The sequence below is a fragment of the Homo sapiens genome, chromosome 4 (assembly GCF_000001405.40).
Source record: "Homo sapiens chromosome 4, GRCh38.p14 Primary Assembly".
Classification (NCBI taxonomy): Eukaryota; Metazoa; Chordata; class Mammalia; order Primates; family Hominidae; genus Homo; species Homo sapiens.
In genome coordinates, this window is record NC_000004.12 from 109,023,445 (window position 1) to 109,048,036 (window position 24,592).

Below are 24,592 nucleotides of genomic sequence, written 5' to 3' on the forward strand. Positions count from 1 at the left end.
ATAGTAACAAGATACCAGTGCTTAGGAAATCACTAGAATTGGACATTGATAAAGAGAAAATTTATGAGCTTGTTGGCATTGAGGCTGAAGAACTTTCCAACGAGGAGCTAATTGAACTGGAGGAAGAAAGAAGTAAAGAAGTTGAGGCAGAGAAAGCAGAAGTTATGTCCAAGGCACCAAGAATGTTCACAGCAAAGAAACTGGCAGAAATATTTGCTACTACTATTAGCAATGGCTTTTGGAAATTACAGAAATGGATGTCAATTACAAGAGATTCACAAGCGCTGATGGCAGATACAGGATGCTCTTGCTTGCAATAAAGAGAAATATATAATGAAAAGAAGAAACAAACCATACAGTCAAAACTTGCTGTCTTCCAGAAGAACACTGTGCCTGCTAAACCATCAACAAGTGTAATGCCCTTCTACTCGCTATTCTCAAGCCTCTCAGAAGAGAGAGATTGATAACCCTGTTGCTGCAAGATGTCCATCATCCAGCAATTATTTTTAGTTCAATGCTTCAGACATTCTTCAGGCCTAGCGGGCATTCTTCTGTGTACGTTATTTCATGGTGAGTACCCATACAACTATCCTGTTTTTCACTTTCAGTACAGTATTCAATAAATTACATGAGATAGCCAATACTTTATTATAAAATAGGCTTTGTGTTAGATGATTTTGTCCTACTGTAGGCTAATGTAAGTGTTCTGAGAACATTTAAAGTAAGCTAGGCTAAGCTATGATGGGCAGTAGGTTAGGTGTATTAAATGCATTTTCTACTTACAACATTTTCAACTTACTCTGGATTTATTGGGACATACATAACCCCATCATAAATTAAGGAGCATCTGTAAATATCTGACTATTTCTTTATAACACTAAAAATGCAGTGTTATTCCAATTATCAACTTTATATATATTTATATATTATGCTTATTTATACTGTAGTATACAAAATACAGATTATATATTTTCTAGGACATAATTTTTGTGTATATACATATTTATTCAGACATATGGTTATAAATCTATCTAAAAAAAGAAAGAGAAGGAAAAGAAAATAAGAGATGAAGAGGGAGAGAGGAAGAAAGAAAACATGTACAAAAATAGTGGTTCCCTACGGATGATAGGATTATAAGTAAATATTTTTATTATTTAAGTTTTTTATGCTTCTCTAAATTTTACTAGCCCCATCTCATGATTACAAAAATATATTGTCACATGATAACTAATTAACTGCAGAAAACTTTTAAACCCTTAATTAAGTTGTTAATTTTTTTCCATATTAGTCATTTACTCAAAGATCTAGGTCAATGATTTTTGAATTCGAGTTTCTTTCTTCCAATTCAGGGTGTTTTTAATTACTTGGAAGAATGTTGCAAAATGCTTAAGATATGCTCTCAAAAATTCAGTAAGTAAGGGTTTTAAATCTACCTTTCTGTATGCCACATATCACTTTTGGAAGTAGGAATAAAGAAAGGGGCAGAAGAGTTATACAGTTAAACACCAGCGAGAAGAGGTCATGACTCCACATCAACTGGGGATCCCTGCTAGGCATAGAGGCCCTTGGATCCTTTGCTGTTTTGCAAACCAAAATATCTGGGTTGTAATTTAACTGCATTATTTTATGGAGTTGTATAAATAACTTACACTTTTGACTATAAATGTTTGTCAAGCTTCTAAAACATCTTGCTTATCCAAGCCTTTTCACCAGCTGGCATGGAATCAGGATTGGCAATCAAGGTGTAAGTAAATGATCAGTTTTACAGACATGTTTAGTAGGATACAATAAACATATATGAAGTACCTCTGAAAAGAGACCTGCTCAGCTTCCATTGCTTTAAAAACACATACCTAGGCAATTTTTACTGCCCTACCAATTTTTATTACACTGTATATATTGAGTAATTTGGTTTCTGCTATGTTTAATAACATTCTTAATGTGTGCTATGTTGATTGTTCCAGATAAATACTGGAAGCCAATTTATAAACATCTTTCAGTCTGATTAAATTTATATGTGCCCAATTCTGATTTTCTAAATATTGTGCACAAAGACAGACTTGACAATGCTCTCTGCAGCTGTCCTAGATGTTTCACATTAATAAATGCATGCTAGCAGATTTCTAACACCCAGAGAGTCAATTAATTTATAATGCATGAGTCACATCATGCTTACTGCTTCACTAAAGCAGAATCCTAAAAATGAAGCCTGTTTTAAAATGAGGGAGGAGAGGCTCTGCAAGCTGACAAGCTTATGTTCTTGAGGGACCCAGATGTTTGTGGCTGAATCGTAATAGCTACCACTTACTGACCACTACACAACACCAAGAGTTTTACAAATGTCATCTCTCTTTGTTACAATAACCCTGCAAATTAGGGGTCATTTCTACCATTTTGCAGTTGAACAAACCAAGTTTCAGAGAGGTTAAATAACGTTTCCTTAGTCAAACAGCTTCTAAAAGGGGAAGTTCAAACTATGAACATGGGTTTATTTGACTTGGACCCTTTTGAGCTCTCACTTGTGTCATGCTGGCTGCCCATGGGCTTGGGCAAGATTACCCCGAGAAAGAAAGTAGCAGTCATTCTTAGCCCTCTTAGGAACTGGATAAAAGCTATAGCTGCAGTGGTTAGAAATATCCACATATAAAACACTTTGCACACACACACACACACACACACACACACACACACATATACTCTTAAATTAGTTCGCGGGTTCTCTAGGAAATAATTCACCTGGGTTAAGAACCCCTGACTAGGGGTAATGTAATGTAATGTAAATATTTCAAGAGTAGGAGAGGAAAAGTGTTCCAAAATGGAAACTGAGGATAAAAAAAACCTAAAAACAATGACAACAAAATTAGAGTTACAGAAATCAAGATTGGAGAGAATTTCAAGAAGGCAAATTGATTAAAACAAGGAGTCCATTGCATTTAACAAGTAGAAAGTTGGAATTTGTATTGTAATTGATTAAGCAGTGAGGTGAGGAAATTAAGAAAAGAATAAGCTCCGTAGATGGCAAGCAGGCGTTATATGAAGTGTGAACTCTGGTTATTAACGACTGCCTGGAATAACATGTTTAAAGGTTCAGAGGCTGGTTATAGACTTGGGAAAAGGGTGTGGGATTGATAGGGAATGTCTACAGACAGCAACAGTGGAAAACATGTGTGCCGACGATTTGCTAGCCCAAGTAGACACCTCTTTTTAGTAACTGTGCATGAAGAAAAGAAATAGGAGAGTAGCTAAAAGGCATATAGGGTTAAGGAAAATTTTTCTTGCTTGTTTTTGTGGTAAGATGGGAGGTACTTGAAAATGTTTACAAACGGACAGGACATAGAGAAAAGAAATGGCTTGCAGAGCAGTATCAGCATGCAAGAGAACACAAAAGGAAGTGGAGTCAGAGAAGAAGAATGCGGAGAAAGAACACCATCTTATATAAGATGAGAAGAAAGAAAGTGAGAATAAATACAGATCAATTTGCTGTACAGAGGCAGAAAATGGATGTATTCCATTCCTTAAATCTCAGAGGACTCTGAAATAGAAGTCTGCTAGGGATGGGGCAGATGTGAGAGGAATAAAATTGATTATTTATTCATTCACATAATATTTGTTGAGTACCTACAGTGTGCAGGCATTCTTCAGGTACTAGGACTATAATAAATATGGTAGCTAAAACAAAGCCCCGCTATCACTTTTGTGGGAGAAGCAGGCTTTAAGAGAATGTTTATGAATAATGTGGCAGACAGCGATAAGGACTCAGCAGGAAAGTACATGAGGATAAGGAGGCTAGAGAACAATTCAATGGGAGGGCGCTATTTTACAGGGTGGTCATGGGGGGGCCTTGAATGGAAAAAAGGAGGAAAAACAAACAGCAAGTGGTAATGCTCTGTAAGATGGAGGTGTGCTTAGCGTGTCCAGCAACTGACAGTGCGTCTGGACTACAGTGAGTGAGGAAAAAGAGTAAGGAGGAAAGTTACAGAGCAGGAGGGAGGAGATCAGAGAGACTTTGCAGGTCATGATAAGAACTTGGCTTTTAATCAGGATGAAATAGAAAGCCATGGCGAGGAGGTTCTGCACAGAGAAAGGACACAATCTGAATTATATTTGAAAAGGATCATGTCCACTATCGGGAAAAGGCAGTAGAAAGGCAGGGGTGTACAGATGGAGAGATGTTAGGAGGCTTTTGTAGCATTCTAAGTGAAAGATAAAGGATGGGATGGGCCAGGGTAATAGCAACCAAGGAGGTAAAAAGTGGTCAGTTTCTGGTTCAAGACTTGCAACTAGATTGAATGTGGGGTGTGAGAAAAAAGAGCAGTAAAAAATGACTCCAAAGGTTGACCAGAGCAATTAGAGCAGTGGAGCTGCTCTTTAGTGATGTGTGGAAGATCTGGAAGAGGAGCAGCTTTGGAGAGTAAGGGTGGAATTCCAGCATTTGGTTTTGAACATGCTAAATTTGAGATCTCTAGGAGACATCCATGTGCAAACGTTGAATAGATAGTTGGATATGCAAGTCCAAAATTCTGAGAGTTCAGACTGGAGATATACATTTGGGAGACTTTGACACATAGATAATAGTTAAAGCCATGAGATTATATGAGATCATCTAATGAGGCAATGTAAATAAGGAAGAAGAAAGGTCCAAGTTCTGAGCCATCAGGCATTTCAAAATTCATTTATTTATTCATTCATTCATTCACTGAGACAGAGTCTCACTTTGTCACCCAGGCTGGAGTGCAGTGGTGCAATCAGAGCTCATTGCAGTCTCACACTCCTCCCACTTCAGTCTCCCCAGTAGCTAGGACTACAGCCACGTACCACCACACTCAGCTAATTTTCTATTTTTTTGTAGAGACAGGTTCTTGCTATGCTTCCCAGGCTGGTCTTGAACTCCTGGGCTCAAGTAATCCTCCTGTCTTGGCCTCCCAGTGTGCTGGGATTACAAGCATGAGCCACCATGCCCTGCCCATTCCAACATGTAGAAATCATGAAGAAGAAAAAGGGGCCAGGCCCAGTGGCTCATGTCTGTAATCCCAGCACTTTGGGAGGCAAAGGCAGGCAGATCACAAGGTCAAGTGATCAAGACCATCCTGGCCAACAAGGGTGAAACCTCATCTCTACTAAAAATACAAAAATTAGCTGGGCATGGTGGCATGCACCTGCAGTCCCAGCTACTTGGGAGGCTGAGGCAGGAGAATTACTTGAACCCAGGAGGCGGAGGTTGCAGGGGGCCGAGATTGTACCACTGCACTCCAGCCTGGCGACAGAGCGGGACTCCATCTCAAAAAAAAGAAAAAAAGAAAAAGAAAAGAAAAGAAAGAAAAAGGACTAGCTAGCAAGGGAGGAGTGGTGAGTAAGGTAGGAGGAGCACCTTGAAAGAGTGATAAGAACAAGGAGATAAACAGAGAAAGTGTTTCAAGAAGACACCAATTCACTGTGTTGAATGTGGTCCAGCAAAGTTGGAACTGAATTCTGACCACTAAATTTGTCATAATAAAGGTAACCAGTGCCCTTAAGAAGAATGTTTTCAGTACAGTGGTAGAGATGGAGGCCATGTTAGATTAGAGAGAGAGTGGGAAAACAATATTTGATGAGTGTGGGCAACTCTTTCCAGAGTTTCATTGTAAAAGGGAGTGGGAGCTATAAAGAAATGGAACAGCATCTGGGAAACATATGGGGTCAAGGAAGTTTCATTTTGAGGACAAAAGATATTATGGCATAATTCTATGCTAATGAAATTATCCAAAAGAGAGGAAAAACCAATGATACAGGAGGGAGGCAATACCTAAGTTTTAAGTTGCACACCATTCTGAGTAGTGGGATGAAATCTCATGCCATCCCACTCCATCCCGCCCAATACATGAATCACCTCTTTGTCTAATGTATCTATGCTGTATATGCCACCTGCAGAAGGTCAATAGTAGCCTAACGCTACGTCAACAATGCCCACGTCATTCACCTCACTTCCTCTCACCATGTAGGCATTTTGTCATCTCACATCATCACAGGAAGGGCGAGTACAGCACAGTAAAATATGTTGAGAGACCAAATTTATATAACTTTTATGGTAGTATATAGTTATAATTGTTCTATTTTATTATTGTTGTTGTTCATCTCTTACTGTAGCTAATTTATAAGTTAGACTTTATATAGGTGTATGTGTGTGGTATATGTGTATACATATTTGTAGGAAGAAACATATACGTATAGGATTTGGTGCTATCCGCAGTTTGAGGCATCCACTGAGGGTTTTGGAACATATCGCCTTGGACAAGAAGGAACTACTATGTAAAAATAATATGGATAATATTGTCTATATTTATTCAATAAGAACTCAAAAACTCAGAAATACAGAGTACTCATACAAATTTGTAATTTCCTGCCTACAATATTCTTAATTTCCTTATAATTCTTAGATATTATTGTCTTTATATATTATTCATGATGAGCTATTACACAATTTACTCTGAAAACAGGAAATCAGAGGCATCCAGGCACCTCATAGATAAAGAACCTAAATCTATTCCCTGCTTTAAATATTTTCCTTGCATAGCTGATACCTGCTACGGACGTTAATACACCCTTTCTCCACACCTCCTGCTCCTCAGAGTTCGGATCCTCTATCCTTTACTTCCTCAGGATGAAAATAAATGGCCAAGCCTCATGGACAGGCCAACTGAGACACAAGCAGCAGAAGGCAGCTCAGTGTATCACATCCCTCCAGAGAGGTGGTGCCTGGGTCATCATTTCACGGAAGTCAACAAGATAGGCTATGAAAGAAATAGCAACAGAAGGAAGCAGCTGCTGCCTGACTCCCTGCCCCTTCTGGTCTTTAGAATTCATGAATCCCCACACCTGAACTATGGAGAGAGGCAGCTGCCCCATCATTCCCATCCTACACCCACCATTGGGCACACTTTGGCTCAGCACTGGCCACAGAGTTCAAGTGGAATAGCCTCTAGTGCATCTCCAGAGAGGACAGGCAGGGGCAAGGAATGAGCTGGGCTTTGGGTGACAGGTCTAGGAGGAAGGGAACCACCAAGGACCCACAGCACGAACTCAGTAGTTGTGAAGACAAAAGAGAATTATATCTGTGAAAGACCCTTGAATAAGTGACTAATGTAGTGAATTACTGATGTTGCAAAGATTCAGCCAAGATTCATGTAGACTCTCTGGTCTGTATGGGAACTTTGAGGTAGGTCAAAGGCCTGTGCAGTCATTCCTCATATCAACATGGACATATTAAAGTCAGGCTTCCAGGTGTACCACAATGCAATGCCTGTTAAAAATTTTTAAAAGGGTAAAACTTCATTTTGTTGTTGTTGTTGTTGTTTTGGGTCTCGCTTTGTCACCCAAGCTGGAGTGCAGTGGCACCATCACAGCTCACTGCAACCTCCATCTCCTTGGCTCAAGCGATCCTCCCACCTCAGCCTCCCGAGTAGCTGGGTCTACATGCCTGGCTAACGTTTTGTATTTGTTTGTAGAGACAGAGTTTCGCCATATTGCCCAGGCTGGTCTTGAACTGGACTCAAAGTGATCCACCTACCTCAGCCTCCCAAAGTGTTGGGATTATAGGGATGAGCCACTGTGCCTGGCCAAAACTCCTTTATGCCGTGTGTTTCAGGATAACTACTATGCAGACCTGTTTTCTTATGCCACACAACTTTCAATAATTATATGCCATATATTAAAGTGTTACAATACCTGTCGCCCAGGCTGGAGTGCAGTGGCGCGATCTCGGCTCACTGCAAGCTCCACCTCCCGGGTCCACGCCATTCTCTCGCCTCAGCCTTGTGAGTAGCTGGGACTACAGGCGCCTGCCACCGCGCCCGGCTAATTTTGTTTTTTGTATTTTTAGTAGAGACGGGGTTTCACCGTGTTAGCCAGGATGGTCTCGATCTTCTGACCTCGTGATCCGCCCGCCTCGGCCTCCCAAAGTGCTAGGATTACAGGCGTGAGCCACCGCGCCAGGCCATGTTACAATACTTTTTTTAAAAAAAAAGAATTTACGCAAATCACCATTCCTACATTTTCTGTAGCGAGACCAAATAAACGTCACCCACCAGGTCACAAAACCTTAAGGATGCCAGCAGCTGGGTAAGCTGAGTGCTGCTGAAATGCCAGAGGGAGAACAATGGCACTTGGAGCACTCAGGCAGTTCCAGCGAGATGTACTGCCCACATTTTAAAGCTTTACTTTTACTCCATCAAAGAAAATGACATCTCATTTTGACCAAATCAAGGCATAGTTAGACCTGGCAGTCAAAACCCTTAGCTCCAGCCTGTGTAGAGGCCCTTAGCCCCATGACCTTCCTCCAATTGCTATAAGCTCCTGACTCCTAGCACACTCTTGTTCCTGCTATCCTCACAACCTGGTGTGTCCTCCCACTCATTCACTTCTCAAAATCCCATCCATGCTCTCAGCTTTCACCTCTTTCCAAAGCTTTGTCTGCTTTCCTATAGCAGATGGGAAGTTTATTTCTTCCAAATATACACAGATCATTGTCTCAATTCATTTATAGCATTACATTCTGCCTTAAAATATAGGTATTGATAGCTTATCTCTTCTATTAAACTGCATGCTCCTTGAACAGCTAACACTTATGGTGTTGTTACAATATGCCAGGTACTGTGATGTTGGTTTTGCAGACATCAGCAGGTACCATTATCCACCCCATTTTACAGCTGTGGAAACCGAGACCAGGAAATGTTGAGTGACTTGTCTAAGATCACACCACTAGTAAATGGAAATACTGAGACATACATTTGCGTCTGCCAGATTCCTGAGCCTAGGTTTTTAACTATGATGTTACACCACATAGTCCTTCCACAGTGGAAGGCATGCCAAAAACATCTGACTCTTTAAAAATTCATTCTTATATGAATTTTTATTCAACCTACATTTATTAAGCCAGGCACTGCAGTGATGCTAGAGAAACATGGAAAAATAAGTCCTAAACTCTTCAACAGGGGAACTTATGGTCACAAATAACACAAAGAGGTTAGTGCACTTTAAGATTCCCATACTTTATTCTCATACTTTCCAAGCAATTGGAAAATCTTTTGACAGAGGCTCAAGTTGTGAAAACTAGTTAAAGTCCTCACTTCGCACTGCAATAAAATGTTTTATAATGAGAAATCAACCACCTTAATTTATTTTAACAGATAACATTATGCAATTAGCGATGCTGAGATTAAATCAGATACTGTAATGTTATAACCAAGAGTATCTGAATACATTTCTTTTATAGCATAGATGTTCTCCATTGAGACAGGAAATGTAGCTTAGCATTTTTAGAGCCACTGGCTAAATTACCTCTATTGATGAGGCTCGGCAGGTTCTTTCTGAACGATTCTAAATAACTGCTGAGGGATGAAAGAAAGTGTTCCACAGACTGTAGCCACAGCATGCTCGGAGTCTACTGGGGAGAGAATAAAGCACTTGCCCCATGCATGAATGGGTCTGCGTCCCGCCTGGAGCATGGCTGACTAGCCATCCCTGAAATTGTATAAATGAAAGGAAGTAGGCCAAGGTAGACATTTGTATTAATAATTGGTGTGCACAAGTAAATTAGGCTATCCCACCAGGTCCTCCATAAAGGATGGAAAGCCAGTATGAACCTTCAGAAATAAAGTCTGCTAAAGCAATCTTTTGAAAGCTTTTGACAAATTGCAAACCTCAGCCATTTGTTTTGTTTCATTGAAAGGAAAGTTCAGGGAAAAGTTTCAGTTCAGTTCACACACAACACATGTACAGATTCACATACACACAAAGAGTGTATAGGTGTATGAAGCATGAACCAGGACATGAGAGTTATGTAGCACTATCCTTATTCACAGAGGCAGTCAAGGGACCTGGTTGTGCCATTAGGCATGGGAGCATTTTTCACCAATGTCAGAAGGCAGGCACATAACAGTTCCGGGCTCCTTTAGCTTCCAGGTATCGTGCCCCACATCAACAATCCACAGCACAATGAAATCTGGCCCCTTGTTTGCACAGTCATGTTGCGATAGCAGGAACAGTGAAAGGCAGTCCCCATCAGAGGAGAGAGGTCAAGTAATAAAACCAAGTTATGGCTCAGATTTTTCACATTTTGAAAGGAAACAAAACATTTGGAACCTCTTTGCTTTTGCGGTCCTGAGGAATGGAATTTTAACCTGCCTATTTTTTGGTGTAGGAAATTTCCAGGTTTCTAAATTGTCTTCAACATCTCCCTTTCATGAAGAGCACATAGCAGGTAAAGAATAATGAGAAATATTAGTTCATTTAATAATGCTATAAAATCTAATCTTTGCAGGGAAAAAAAAAGCTAATTTATTTTGACAGTAATATCTTTTACACCAAACATCATCAATCTTATATCATTACATAATAAATTTTTATTCTTTCACTTGCACAAACATTAACAATAATAATCCAAAAGGAATAATAAAATCAAAGTTAATAAATAATGGTGAATTATTTAAATATTTTAATTAAAAAATAGATTCCCAAACTTCCTCTCAATTGTATTGACACTTAAATTAAAGCAAAACATAAGCAATTAAAGACTAACAAAGTTTTGAGGTTTAACTCGAGTAATTAAAGAGTAATATTATAGTACTTAAAGAATAGAAAATAGATTCCCTTGATAGTGCTATTCCATTCCTTAACCACACAAATATTTAAATAACAAAAATGTAGTAGTATTGAAACCTGAAAAACATCTTTACCTAAAAGTTCTCATTATTCTTAAGAAACTGAAAGCTCTGCATACAGAAACAGAATGCACATTCTCATTGATCTTGAGTGTCACTCAAGAAACACATTTGATATGGTTTTTGCCTTGATAATGAGGACACAATAAACTATGAAAAATGTCATTTCTGGAAAATTTGTTGGCTATAGTTCAGCAAGAAATGAATCTTTTTAACAGATATGGCATGATGACTTTGATGAATTGAACTTTTAAATATATGGAGCATTAGAAAAGATATGCCCTTAGAAATGAATTAATTTAGATACAACAGCATACTGTATACCATAATTCATTGTCTCCACGTTCATCACTGCAGAGTGGTTCTGTCCATGTGACAAGGTCCCTCTTCAAATTCCTATTTGGGCTTCACTTGAATTCATTAACTTAAAAAATGATGACCTAGCTTGGACCCAATCTCTAAGTTTTCTATTAACTCTTAACAATTCTATAAATTTAGTGTTTTATGCACTCTGAAACTTTACATGGTTTGAAGATAAAAATTTCAGGAAAATATCCTTCTGAAAGATTCTTTTTATCTACTTAGCAGAAAAGTTTCAGCTACAAGACAATTCCAACAAGACAAGTCAATATCTTGGTCAATTTCTATATATGCATCACTTTGAAAGTTGTTTAAAATAAATTAAAATCTTATAAATGCCAAATATTAAAATTTAATACTCCACTATGGGGTTTTGTATTTTGATGTTTAGACAGGGAACTGAAATCTTATATAAAGACACATATTCATATTACTGGGATTCATATGATGCCCTGATGGATAAAGTCAAACAACATTTATCTAATTTTGGTTATAGTTTAAAAGTAAGAAGTTTGAAGGCTTGTAATGTAGGATACCATTTTTGGTATCCTAAAGTATTTAAAAGCATACCCAGCATAGGGTGAGACAAGTTGAGAAAATATAGGTAACAGAAAAAGTATCCTTTTTCAAGAGATTTATCATATTGATTTTAGTAGTATGCTGCCTGCCATAGCTACTGTCAGCCAACAAAGGCACATCTGAAATGATGCTGACTTCCAGTCCCCAAGCAAGAAACCTTCTAATGTAAACCATCGATTAACTGTTACCAAACTTTTCCTAAAATGAATGCTTATATTGCCCATGGAGTCTAATTTACTGACAAAATAATAAGTGTATTATAAATCATTGAAAGTATTAAAGTATGTTACATCTTGGTAATCACAGTACTTAAGAGCAATAGTTTGAGCTCCTGTTAGTATAAAGAGAAAGGAGACAGATCAATTTCCAATAATAATTTATAAGAATAAAAACTTTCTATTTAAATTTACTTTTAACAGAACAGAAACCTAGAAATGACCGGGGTACTTTAGTTATTGGAATTTCTAGATAGTATTGGAAGTTCTAGAAACGAACAGGAATGAAAGAAATTTCCTACTTTTTAAGGATATTTTTTAATGACAAAATAAAAGCTTCTCCTTCTCAATGATGAATAGGAAGAGGTTTCCCAATCCAAATTTATTTGCCTTGTGGTTTTCATTAAAATCTACACATAGGAAACTTCATATTATAGGAAATATACAATTTTTGTAGTGAATTCCTTATAAATTATGATATTTGTACAAGGTCAAGCAATTTTTCATTTTGTTTAAAATGTTCCAACAATCTAAAATTGCCACCAGTTTGTTTATGCTCTTCAAACTCTCTTCTCCTAAACTCTATTAATATCACCAAACTAAAGATTTTTATTTTATTTTATTTTTATTTTTATTTATTTATTTATGTTTCTGAGACAGAGTCTCACTCTGTCGCTCAGGCTGGAGTGCAGTGGCGTGATCTCGGCTCACTGCAAGCTACGCCTCCCAGGTTCATGCCATTCTCCTGCCTCAGTCTCCTGAGCAGCTGGGACTACAGGCGCCCGCCACCATGCCCAGCTACTTTTTGGTATTTTTAGTAGAGACAGGGTTTCACTGTGCTAGCCAGGATGGTCTCGATCTCCTGACCTCATGATCCGCCCACCTCAACCTCCCAAAGTGCTGGGATTACAGGCATGAGCTACCATGCCCGGCCCAAACTAAAGATTTAAAAAGGATTTTTTTTTCCCCTCTAAACAAGGGAGCTAATGCCTATGGGAAAATAACATTCTTAACAAATAAAACCCAGGGGATATAGTCAGACAAAGGAATAAATTCTCATTTTCCACACGACTTTCAAACTAGTAAACAATACAAGAATTCTATAATAGTTTCTTTTCAACTCATGCCATATAATGTACAAAGTAAGTTTGTATGTAATGGCAACTCCTGATCAGCTTTCCAGACATGAAGATTCAATGATTAGAGGCTTAACTTTAATATGCAAAGTAGAGGGTTGGGTGGATGTGGAGAGGGCATCAGGATAAATAATCCACATAACTGGAAGTGGAAGTTTAGGTCATTTCCTATCCAAGGATATATATAGGGCATATTGAATAATGGTCAGACTACCTGAAAGGAAACCACAAGCTGATTAGTTCCACTCTAAGGGATGGTTTTTAAAAACCAGTTGTTATTCTTCACCATTGATTAGAAGTCTAAATGGAAGGCTACATATGGTGAAAGATATATACATTCAGTCATTACCACAGAAGGGTGATAAATTATCCAGCATGCCTGCAGAGAACTCTCTAATCCACTCTTTCAATTTTCACTCTCACCTGTGAAAAAGCCTGAACTGTATGCCAACTGGTTGTTAATAATGCTCTCTGGAAGGGAGCAAGTTGAAGTTGTTCCCCAAACTGCAAATTAAGAGACAAAGTATGTGTGTCTACTACAGTTGAATGAAATTATATATCAGAATAAAAGACCATGTCTGCAGTACAGGACTGAAGTATGCTTTCATGTGTCCTATAAAATCCTTGTGCTCTGGGCAGCACAAAGCTCTTAGAATGCTTCCATTTCGTCTCCCAGAAGAACATCATAACATAGATGTAGCTAACAAAGGCCTCCAAAAGGAAGCTTGTGATATAAAACATAAAATAATTGTTTTTAAATTTGTAGTTTCCAGATTGGGTTTCTACTCTGCCTGCCAAATACTCTCCTTCTTTCTCATGAGTTAGCTGCACAAATATGGATTTCATTTATTAATGGAAGTGGTGACTCGGCCACTTTGCATGGATTCTTTAGCTCTTCTATCTCCACTCTCCTCTTCCTCCACAGAACACAGTGAGGTATGATGGATCCAAAGCCAGGAGGAGGGGAGCTCACAGTGAGGCTGTCTGGCATGGTCTGCAGCGCAGCCTACTCTGGCTGCCTCTCAAAACCCTCCTGACTAGTGCTACCCTCAATCCTTGGCCAGCCCCTCTGCTGGGCAGCAGAAATGCTAGCACCAATCAATTTCTTTTACATAGGTTCCAAATGCCAGTTTACCAGGAATGTTTCATTCTCGCATGTGCGGCAGAGAGACTCTTTTGTAACTTTTCTCTAAAAGTGTGTGGGTCTGTATTTATTTGCTACAGAAAAATAAAATGTAAGCCTTCCACAGCTTAGAGCTGGCCCACGTGTCACTTCTGAGCCATGTGTGCCCTAAGTCTGTCACTCTCCTTCTCTGAGCCCTTGCTGACAGCTATAAAGTAAAATAGCACAATTTTATCAGTCCTGCCTTCTTCATGGGGTCATAGCATCAAATGACCTATGTGAACGGGCTTTTGATGACTTACTTTCAATTAAATGTATTATATTATTATTAGCCAGGAAAGCTTATCAAATCAGACATGCATATTTACACAACACTGCCAAGTTACAAGGTTATATACATGGAATATGAAAGCTGAATCAAGGAAATGGATAAAAGAAGGAGGAAGGAATTACAGAGAGAGGAGAAGAAAGCCATGAAAGACAAGTGTGAAGGTACATCTGTGCAAGTTCAGTAAGAATCTGAAAAAGTAGAACTTGAAGAGGTGTCTGTTTACAACCTCACTGTGATGGTTAATGTGATGTGTCAACTTGGCGAGGCTGCGGTGCCCAGTTGTTTGGACAAATACTAGTCTAGATGTTGCTGTGGAGATATTTTGTGGCTGTGATTAATGTTTACCATCAGTTCACTAAGAAAAGCAGATTTCCCTCAATAATGTGGGAGGGCTTCATCCAATCATTTGAAGGCCTTAAGAACAAAAACTGAAGTTTCCTGGAGAAGAAAGAATTCTATCTCAAGATTTAACATAGAAATCTTGCCTGAGTTCCAGCCTTCAGGCCTGCCCTACAGATTTCGGACTTACCAGTTCCCACAACCGCATGACCAATTCCATAAAATAAATCCCCATACCTCTATAGATGCCCTATGGTTCTGTTTCTCTGGAGCACCCTGAGTGATATAATCACCAAGGCTGTTTTTACTGGTAATCCCATTGGATTCTTTTTAGTCTTTATCTTATTTGCCATTTTGCAGGAACATGTGCATTCGAATCATGCCAGCAATACAGTGTAGAGAGAATAAAGTCCTGAGCAAATGAGCATTTTTGGATACAATGAGAAGAGTTTGGTGGCTCTCAACGTCAATAAATATCTCCACTTAGCTGTCTTACCAATAGCTCAAACTCAAATGTTCAAAACAGAAATCTTTGCTTCCCATAAGAGGCTTCTTTTCTTGAGTTGCTGCTCCTGCAGTGTCCCCCTCTGCCCCCACTGGAGATTCATCCTTCCCTTCTTCCTCTGGGTGACTGCTCATGTCTACTCCAGCAAGCTTATAGTTCTTCCTTGAAACAGTTTCTCAGATGAAGCCCTCAGCATCAACCCCTACCCAAGTCTGCTCTTCCATCTTTATTCTCCATCTCAGTGGCCTCACTATGATTCGCCAGAATGAGGACTGAGAGCCACCTCCACTTCTATCTCCTCTTCATTCCTACATCATCACGCGTCTGTCATTCCTAACTCATTAATGCCACCTAAATCCACCCCAGTCTCTACATCTCCCCTGCTACCATTCTTTCCAGATCATTTTACGTCCCCCCGCTTAGCTGCAACAATACCCTAATCATCTCTCTCTTCCCATTTGTCCTCCTCCTTGTCCTTTAGCAGAATGGCCTTCTCAAATGTTCCTCTGACCCTGCCACCCTACTCTTTTAGCCCTTCTAAGACTGCATACTTTTAGGGTAACCACTTGGAATGGCATGCAAAGTACTCCATAGCCTCATCCTGCTCCAATCTCTATTTTTACTAGTTACTTCCTAATCTCTTTCTTGAACTTTATATTTCAGCTTTATTTCATACACCACTTCCCAAAATGACAGTTTTTTCTTGGGTTCCAAAGGCTTTGAAAATGCTAACCTCTTGGAAAATACACACTACTTCGATTTTTCACCCAGACAAGTCCTTCACTGATCTCAGATCCAGAGGCATTCCTGATCCCCTCCACATCTAAATCTGGATTATATTCTCTACTGTCCTCCCACTGCACCTTGGTATATCCTGAGCATACTTCTCTCACAAGATTGCTATGTTTTTGTTTTGTTTTCTTCCTCTCTAGATGATAAGGACCTTGAAGACAAAAGTCACGTCTTATTTGCCATTTATCCTCATCGTATAGCAGAGGGTGTGGTATGTATTAAGCACTCAATATTAGTTTGATGAATGAATCAGTGTGTGAATATGCATTATCTTTTAAATAACTCTATGAACTAATTATTAACAATCCTTTAAAGTCTCTCCTGTCTCTAAATTCTATATTCCATCCTTTTTTCTTTCCTTGACCATACAGAAATACCTTCCTTCAAAATTAAGCAGAAGTAAGAACTAGAGATATGTGTGCGTATTTGCTTGTATGTGTGTATATCTTTGAGGCCAAAGATATTAGCAAGTAACAAAAGATGCATGCTTTATTCCATTTAACCCTATGCAAATCTTAAGGATGCATGAGAACTTGTTTCAAAAAGTATAATAAAAATATCATTAATAATTTTTTAAAACATAAGAACATCTAGGTAACCTGGAACACTTTAGATTCCACATCTTGATGTCTTTTTAATTCCACCAAAACAGAAACAAAAACTTATTTAATGACTGAAGAAGGGGATTCTTTCCACATTATAGTCCATGACCCAGTTAAGACCAAACACAGCACTTAGTTAACTTAGGCCAAATGTAGGCCAGCGTCATGGTGTCCACATAATTAGAATTATGCAGAAGCCACCCTTTGTATAAGAGGAATCACAGCATTTTACATAGCTAGTTTGGAAGAATGGGAACATTGAGCCCTTCTCTGATCACATGCTGCCAAAGATTATTAAATGTTTAGCCATTCATGAGGAAACAATAATCATTCAAATCGCTCATTTGACCTTGTTCAAAATACTAACATTCAAAATGTGTCTAAGCTGCTTTGTAACAGCACTTTATTTTCAAGTGGCTTTCTTGAATATAGCTAGTTATTGCCTCACAAACCAGCAAGAGTCACATAGTTACTTCCCTAATTAGTCCCATAAGATATTTACAGGTCTGCATTAGGCAGACCGCCCTAGGAATTCAGCAACATGACTAAATATTTGGTCATAAGAAAGCAAAACAGGAAGCAGTGACATGACACTCTATTTGTTCGGAGACTGGACATTAGAACGGTACACAGGTGTCCAATCATCAACTAATAGCAAAGGCTTTAAAACCGAGGCATTCCTTTTGAATTTTCTTTTTAGAAATTTTGACTGCCTTGTACTGTCTGTTTTGGTTTTTTATTTTTTAATTTGAAAAGAAGCAAATTTAATTTTACTTATCAAGTATCCTGGGGAGAGAAAGGATTCAGTCCTAAACTCTCACTTTTAAAATGTTATCCTGTTTCCTACCATAAGAATGGCAGTGGCTCACTCTTCAAGCTTCATGAAACTGACTCTAAAAGTGTTAGTCACTTTTTTTCACAGAAGCATTGCTAAAAATTAAACTTTATCCTGAAACTATTGGGAATATAAAACCAGACACATAACCAGAATTGTGCCTAGTTGAGGAGGTTACCCTGGACCCAATCCTGTTATAGATCTAAGCCACTCCATGGCAAGAGAAACGGTACAAGGAAAGAGAAGGCCGTAACAATGAATAGAGGTGCCTAAAGATTTGAGAAATACTGAAAGATAAAAAGTCCTCACTATCAATGAGATTATGAAGTAATCTGGAAGGCCTGGGTCTCATGACCTGCCATTAATACTTTTCTCTTTTTACAGACCACCCTTTAAATTTATGTCACCCCCTTTTTTAAAAAAAAATCCCCTTCCTTTAATTTTTGTTCTGTTCTAGGTTTCTAGTGATAATAGTTTTAATGACTGTTCTTCTCTAAAATGTTACAAGACTGAGACCACATTATTCCCAAGTGATACACCAATGTATGTTTCTCTGATGATTTCTGGTTCTTTTTACTTCTTCAGAATTATTTCCAGTAGGACAGTGGAGACTTAGGGCAGTGGAGACTGGCTCTTCACCAAATTTGTTTACTTTTCCTTCTGAGCCCACAGCTACATTTCTCTCCCTCTCTTACAGTTAGGTATGAACATGTGACTTGACTCTTGCCAAAGGAATGTGGTCAGAAGAGATATAAATCATAGAATTCTAAACTTCCAATAATGGTCAAAAAAATCCTCCCATCTGACCCTCCACTCTTTCCTTATCTATGGCTGTGTAACCGTGCCCAAGATAGCCTTGGAACACACATGTTAAAGATGGCAGAGTCTCCATCAGTCTGGGCTCCTGCAAGGAGCCTTGCCCATCAATATGCAAAAAAATGAATTTTTACTATGGTAAGCCACTAATATCTTAAGGTCCGTCTGTTACAACAGCTAAAGTTATTCTAAAACAGATGGTATCCAGAAATAGACCGTAGGAAAAAAATAATGTTGCAAAAAAATTGTCAATATTTTTGTATGTCTATTTCTTCTTCCTTGTTCCTTTTTAAAATTTTAATTTTTTTACTTTAACAGCCTTATTTAAGCTCAATTTGCAGCTCTTTGCCCCTTACTGTAGCCACTTCCAGAATTCCAAACTTCTGCTTAACCTGGCACTACATCTACAGAAACTATAGCAGAGGAAGCATTAAAACAGATTGCCACTGAACACAGTGCTCTCTACAAACATGGAAGCCCAAACCACTCAATACAGAAGACATGAAAAGACACTAGAGAATCTATTCTATGTACACATTCATAGTCATATTCTTTTTCTTTTTCTGCTTTCTGTCCTAGAAGACAAATCAGCGTGCAGGGGCTCAAAATGAACAACCTGAGTTGTTCATTTGACAAGTGACAGCCTGAGATCATTCTATTAAAACTCTACCCCCAAACAGCCTTTCAGTGCAAATTAATTCTCTGGGCTTTTGCTTCTATGGTTTGTTATGGTGACTGTTATAATGACTGAATTGATCTAGCTATGCTGGTATTTTACACTCATACTGCCTCCTACAAGATAAATGGTTTGTTCCCTCCATCAATAATGATAATACCCTGCTATTATAGAAAAAATACAGTTACTACACATTTAAAAGCACATTCTTTGAGTCCAAATATAAATTTTTAAATATTATAATAAGTAGGAATATAAAAAGGAGTAATTAAAGGAATATTTGCTGAAAAACTTCAAGAAAATTTTATACCTAGTTTTCTTAACTCAAGAGGCAAAGCTCATACTTCCACATGATTTGCTTCTGTTAAATGATAATTAGATGATTTGCGAGTTTGTTTTGAGTAACTGGCAGTTTAAAAGAGCAGTCATAAGATGTAAGATCTACAAATAACTAACAGCTTAATATGAACCATACACGATGAGGATAGGATAAGACACAACAAAGATGTTTACAAAGAGGGTGGTATCACTTAAAACTTACTTGCCTGAAAAACATCTTATAGAAATATGGGGGACTTTGAAGAGGGACAGACCTGGGTTTATATTTCAGTTCTGTCTCCTGCTAGATGTGCAACCTTGGGCAAATTATTTGACTGGTCCAATGCTCACCCTTCTCTGTAAAATAGGTATAGTAACTCTCTAGGTCACGGGGTGGTCTGAGAACTGGTATGTTAAGTGACACATGGTAGGTAGCTGCTATAAATTGTAGTTATTAGTATATCAGGAAAAGACACAATTTGACTTAAAAATCTTATCATTTTTTTCATTATGAAGTAAAGGTATCAGAGGTTTTCATCTAAAAGTTCTACTGAGATTTCTTTCCTAATTCATCTACCACATTGGCAGAAATAGCATTGTAAGCTTAACTTGGCCAAGTCTGCTTCATTCATCTGTCAACAAGATTCTAGGGTTCAAACCGAGCTGACAATTGTTAAAGGTGGACAGGACAGAGCAGGCTGCACAACAGAGTCGTATTTCACACCTCAGAGAGTTCTCCACGACCAACAATAACATCATATCTCTGTCAGTCAAGCATAATCATAGGGCTTGATAGACTGATACAAATAAAACAGCCAGTTAAAAAAAAGGTCTCCTGGCTCTTTTCTGGCTATAGTTACAGGACTTGCTTGATTCTGTGACCTGTGAATATTAGAATAACACTTCTTTTTGGGACAAAGAGACAGAGAGACTGCACCCACTATTGACTCTGAAAAGGATCAAAACTATGTGTAAAATTTGCTCCATTTAAAAACCCTAAAGTCATTTTGTAAATTTTGATCAAACTCTCTCTGCTTCCTATTAAAGTGCAAACTTATTTTTAAGTGATCCAAAATAGAAGGTACCATTTGATAGTCACATAATACAATGGACTGACAAATCATTCTAGCAAATACAGTTGTGATATCTGAGCTTGATGCTCAAAGCACATGCACAGAGTCCATTAGAACAATATTCTAATATGTGTTACCTTTATGAGAAAGAAAATAGAAAAAAGTATGTGATATTCACTTAAAAACAAATTATATACATTATCACAAAATTGCTCTGTTGCAGCCATTTTTAGCAGAGACTCCTCTGATAGTGTGTGTGTGTGTGTGTGTGTGTGTGTATGTATGTATATAAATATATATATCTCAAAATAGATAAGGCTGAGTAATAAGCTGAAAGCTTCCTAGAGAATAAATTGATACACGGGATCTAATTCAAGTTGTATTTCAAGTTTAAATTATAAATGATCTCAATATGCAAGACTATAAAAACTGACAAAAGAAACACATAGTTATATATCCACACATAATTCTAGTGGAATATATCCAAGTTTTCCAAAACATTCTAAGTAAAGTTGCAAATATATGGTTGCTAAATTAAATTTTATCATTAATACTTTTCTTTTTTGTTTCTTTTAATCTTACAGTGAGATCTGCCATTATCCCCTGGGCCATCTAATTTTTTATTAGTTAGTTTGTTTGTTTTACTGAGTGTCCAAATGTCTCTTGCACTATTGGAGCACATTTCATAATGAAGTGAAAGTGAATGACAGCAAAATATACATCAAGATCCCAGGTTACACTTTCTAATCTGTCTGTACACATGAAGCCACAGCACCATGGGAACTGCGGGCCAGAAGGAAGTTTGAGAAATTTACTCGATGTAGGTTCTGTGCCAAGGATTGCTCACCAGAAGCAAGACTAACTTCTCAGACCAATTTTGTGCTTTATATTTAGAGTGCAGAATGGAGGCAAGGGCAACTGTGATTAAGATGACAATATATGCCTCGATAGCACACTTGAGGAGATAGTTGAATAATGTTTTAAAAGATACAAAGTAGGACAATACATTTCTCTAAAAATTAAAATTACAGAAACTGTCAGATTTTAGTTCAGGAAAAAGAAGTGAAAGGAAAATATATACAGTTGACCTTAAACAGCATGGGTTTGAACCACATTGGTCCACTTATATGCCAGTTTTCCTCCTCCTCTGCCGATAACAAGACCAACGCCTTTTCGTCCTTCTCCTCCTCAGATTATTCAATGTGAACATGGTGAGGATGAAGACTTTTGTGATGATCCACTTCTACTTAATGAATAGTAAATGTATTTTCTCTTCACTGTGATTTTCTAAATAATATCTTTTCTCTAGCTTATTGTAAGAATGCAGTATGTAATACATACAACATATAAAATGTATATTAATTAACCATTTGTGTTATCAGTAAGGTTTTCTGTCAATAGTAGGTTATTGGTAGTAACGTTTTTGGGGAGTCAAAAGTTATCTGTGGATTTCTCACTGAGCAGAGGGTTGGTGCCTCTCACCCCCACATTGTTCAAGGGTTAACTGTACATAAAATTAAGGTGATGTAAAAATAGGAATAGTCCCTAGAAATTAAAATTGTCAGTAATTGGGTATTGCCTCTAAATAAACATACTGATGATAAACTTATTTAACTGTAATAATCCCATTGTTCATTAATATTTACTCAGATATAAAAAATATGCCAGAAATTTGTTATAAAGCCACCTACTCTAAAGCAAAATTTGATGGAAGGCAGATACTTTTTAGACATTATACATGGAGATTTAGGAATTGGAGGCTCAAGAAGATTTCATCATAATGTATTTTACCCACAAGGAAGCCCATGATATTGGGTCCTAAGTACTATGGTAGGGTTGTATTGTATTAGTAAAGATAGCATAATCAATGTTTTTTTTCTCTTTTGTACAATCAATGTTTTTTCATCTTATCAAATATAAGCAACTTGAATTATCTTCCAGTCAGTATGGAAACTCATGATTATACTTTATTTCTTGGATTTGATGCTGTTTGCCAAACATATTATAACTTCTTTAAAATGTAGTCAAGGTGGGACAGTATCAATACTTGTTTTATAGATTAGCCATTTTGCAGTTTCGGCCATAATTTTATATTTTATGTGATTATTTTAATCAAGGAATATGATTTGACCCATGGCCTGACAAACCCATGTAACAATGATCCATGTTATAACACAACTATAATTCATAAGGAATGGAATAAAGTGGTAAACTGAATCGATTTGAAATCAGACATATCTAATTGAATTTCAACTTTGCAAATCCTCTAGCTGTGCAACCTTTGGTAATTAACCTCTATGAGCCTCAGTTTCCTCACTGAACAATAGGAATGGTAACATCAGAGGGTTGGTGTGAGAACAAAATGAAATTATACATGTAAAGTACCTAGAATATTGCTTGCCTTACACTAGGGGCTTAATGCTAATTCTCTCTTATTTCTATGTAATAAGAAAAGGAGGAACAATTGACATCTTTAGGTAGAAAATTTGGACTAACAGATGGCCTCAAGAAAGCGAGAGCTATATGGTTGCGTGATTTTTCGAGGAATCAAAGAGGAAGTACTAGAATCCTGAAGAATTCATAAGGCAGAAATGAGATTTAACTACCTCTTGCCATAGCTAATGTGGATTCCAAAAAAAGAAGCCTTGAACACTCTACTCCAGCCGTAACCTCAGGAGTTTCCTCTGGGTAGTAGTGGTTTGTTACTTACTTAACATGAAGAGACTTAAGTATGAAGCCAAAAAGTAAAGACTCCTAGACCTAAGGCATGCCATCTGCCTAGCATTAAGCAAGAGCTGAAAGTCAGTTACAGAAGCAAAGTCATTTCTAACATGATTAATGTTCCATCCTTGAACGTGGCAGGAAGACTGCAAAAGATATTTGGAGGCCAACGTTTCCTCTGAATAAAGTAAATAAGTACACGCTAAGCCCCTGTCCCTGGACCATGCTGGCCTGTTAGATAAGTTGCCAACGTGGAGTCTGCGAACCTTGGAGCAAACTGACTATCCAGGATGAGAAAATATCTCAAGGCCAATGATCATTGCTACCGTAAATGCACACTGCACAGTATAAACACTGGGGTCAGATACAGATATCCAGGATATTACTCAAAAACACATCTAGCTCAGAGCTGACAAGATAATCTGTTCCTGTGAGTGCAAAACAGACTGGAATGCTGCAGCTATGACCTACTCAAGGAAAGAAAAAAGAAAGTGAAACTCTCCAAGGGCTCCATCTCATGTTCTTTATGCAGGCAAAACTCCAACAGACTTCAAAGGGAGTGTTGCCTAAGGAGGGAGGACTGGTCCAAGCTCACTGGGGGTATCATTTCCATGATCATGTTGCCATCTACATTTGGCAGACTGGCAAATGCAAATATTTCAGATACAAGTTTAAACAGATGAAAAAAGAAGTGTGAAATAGCTTGGAGATTTGCTTGCAAAAGAAACCTCAGAATTCCAGGAAAAGGATTTAAAATCAGAATCTTCATAAGTTATCCAAAAATCCCACGAGGGTATTGGTGTGTGATCATATCAAAAATAAACGTTTTTCATCATATGTTCTCACTCATAAGTGGGAGCTAAGCTATGAGGATGCAAAGGCATAAGAATGACACAATGGACTTTGGGGACTCGGGGGAAAAGGTGTGAAGGGGGTGAGGGATAAACGACCACAAATAGGGTGAAGTGTATACTGCTCAGGTGATGGGTACACCAAAATCTCACAAATCACTGCTAAAGAACATGTAACCAAATACCACCTGTTCCCCAATAACCTATGGAAATAAAAAAATTTAAAACAAATTTAAATGGACATATATTGCATTCTAACATCACATGATCACAAAATTGTGTATCTAAAAAATAATTTTCCAAACTTTAAGTATACTCTTTTTTTTTTTTTTTTTTTTTTTAGACAGAGTCTCGCTCTTTTGCCCAGACTGGAGTGCAGTGGCATGATCTCGGCTCACTGCAAGCTCCACCTCCCGGGTTCACGCCATTCTCCTGCCTCAGCCGCCCGAGTAGCTGGGACTACAGGCGCCCACCAACATGTCCAGCTAATTTTTTGTATTTTTAGTACAGATGGGGTTTCACCGTGTTAGCCAGGATGGTCTCGATCTCCTGACCTCATGATCCACCCGCCTCGGCCTCCCAAAGTGCTGGGATTACAGGCGTGAGCCACCGCGACTGACCACTTT

At 38.1% G+C, this 24,592-nt stretch overlaps 1 protein-coding gene and 1 long non-coding RNA gene across 11 annotated transcripts in view; one reads left to right on the plus strand and one right to left on the minus strand.

Moving 5' to 3' along the window:
- The window catches only part of COL25A1 (collagen type XXV alpha 1 chain), a 493,934-nt gene that overhangs the window by 214,720 nt on the left and 254,622 nt on the right, over positions 1-24,592 (minus strand). The window lies entirely within an intron of this gene.
- Positions 110-24,307, plus strand: LOC124900756 (uncharacterized). The gene is made up of 3 exons (XR_007058225.1): positions 110-570; positions 16,215-16,285; positions 20,979-24,307. It is a non-coding gene; the product is annotated as an uncharacterized LOC124900756 (long non-coding RNA).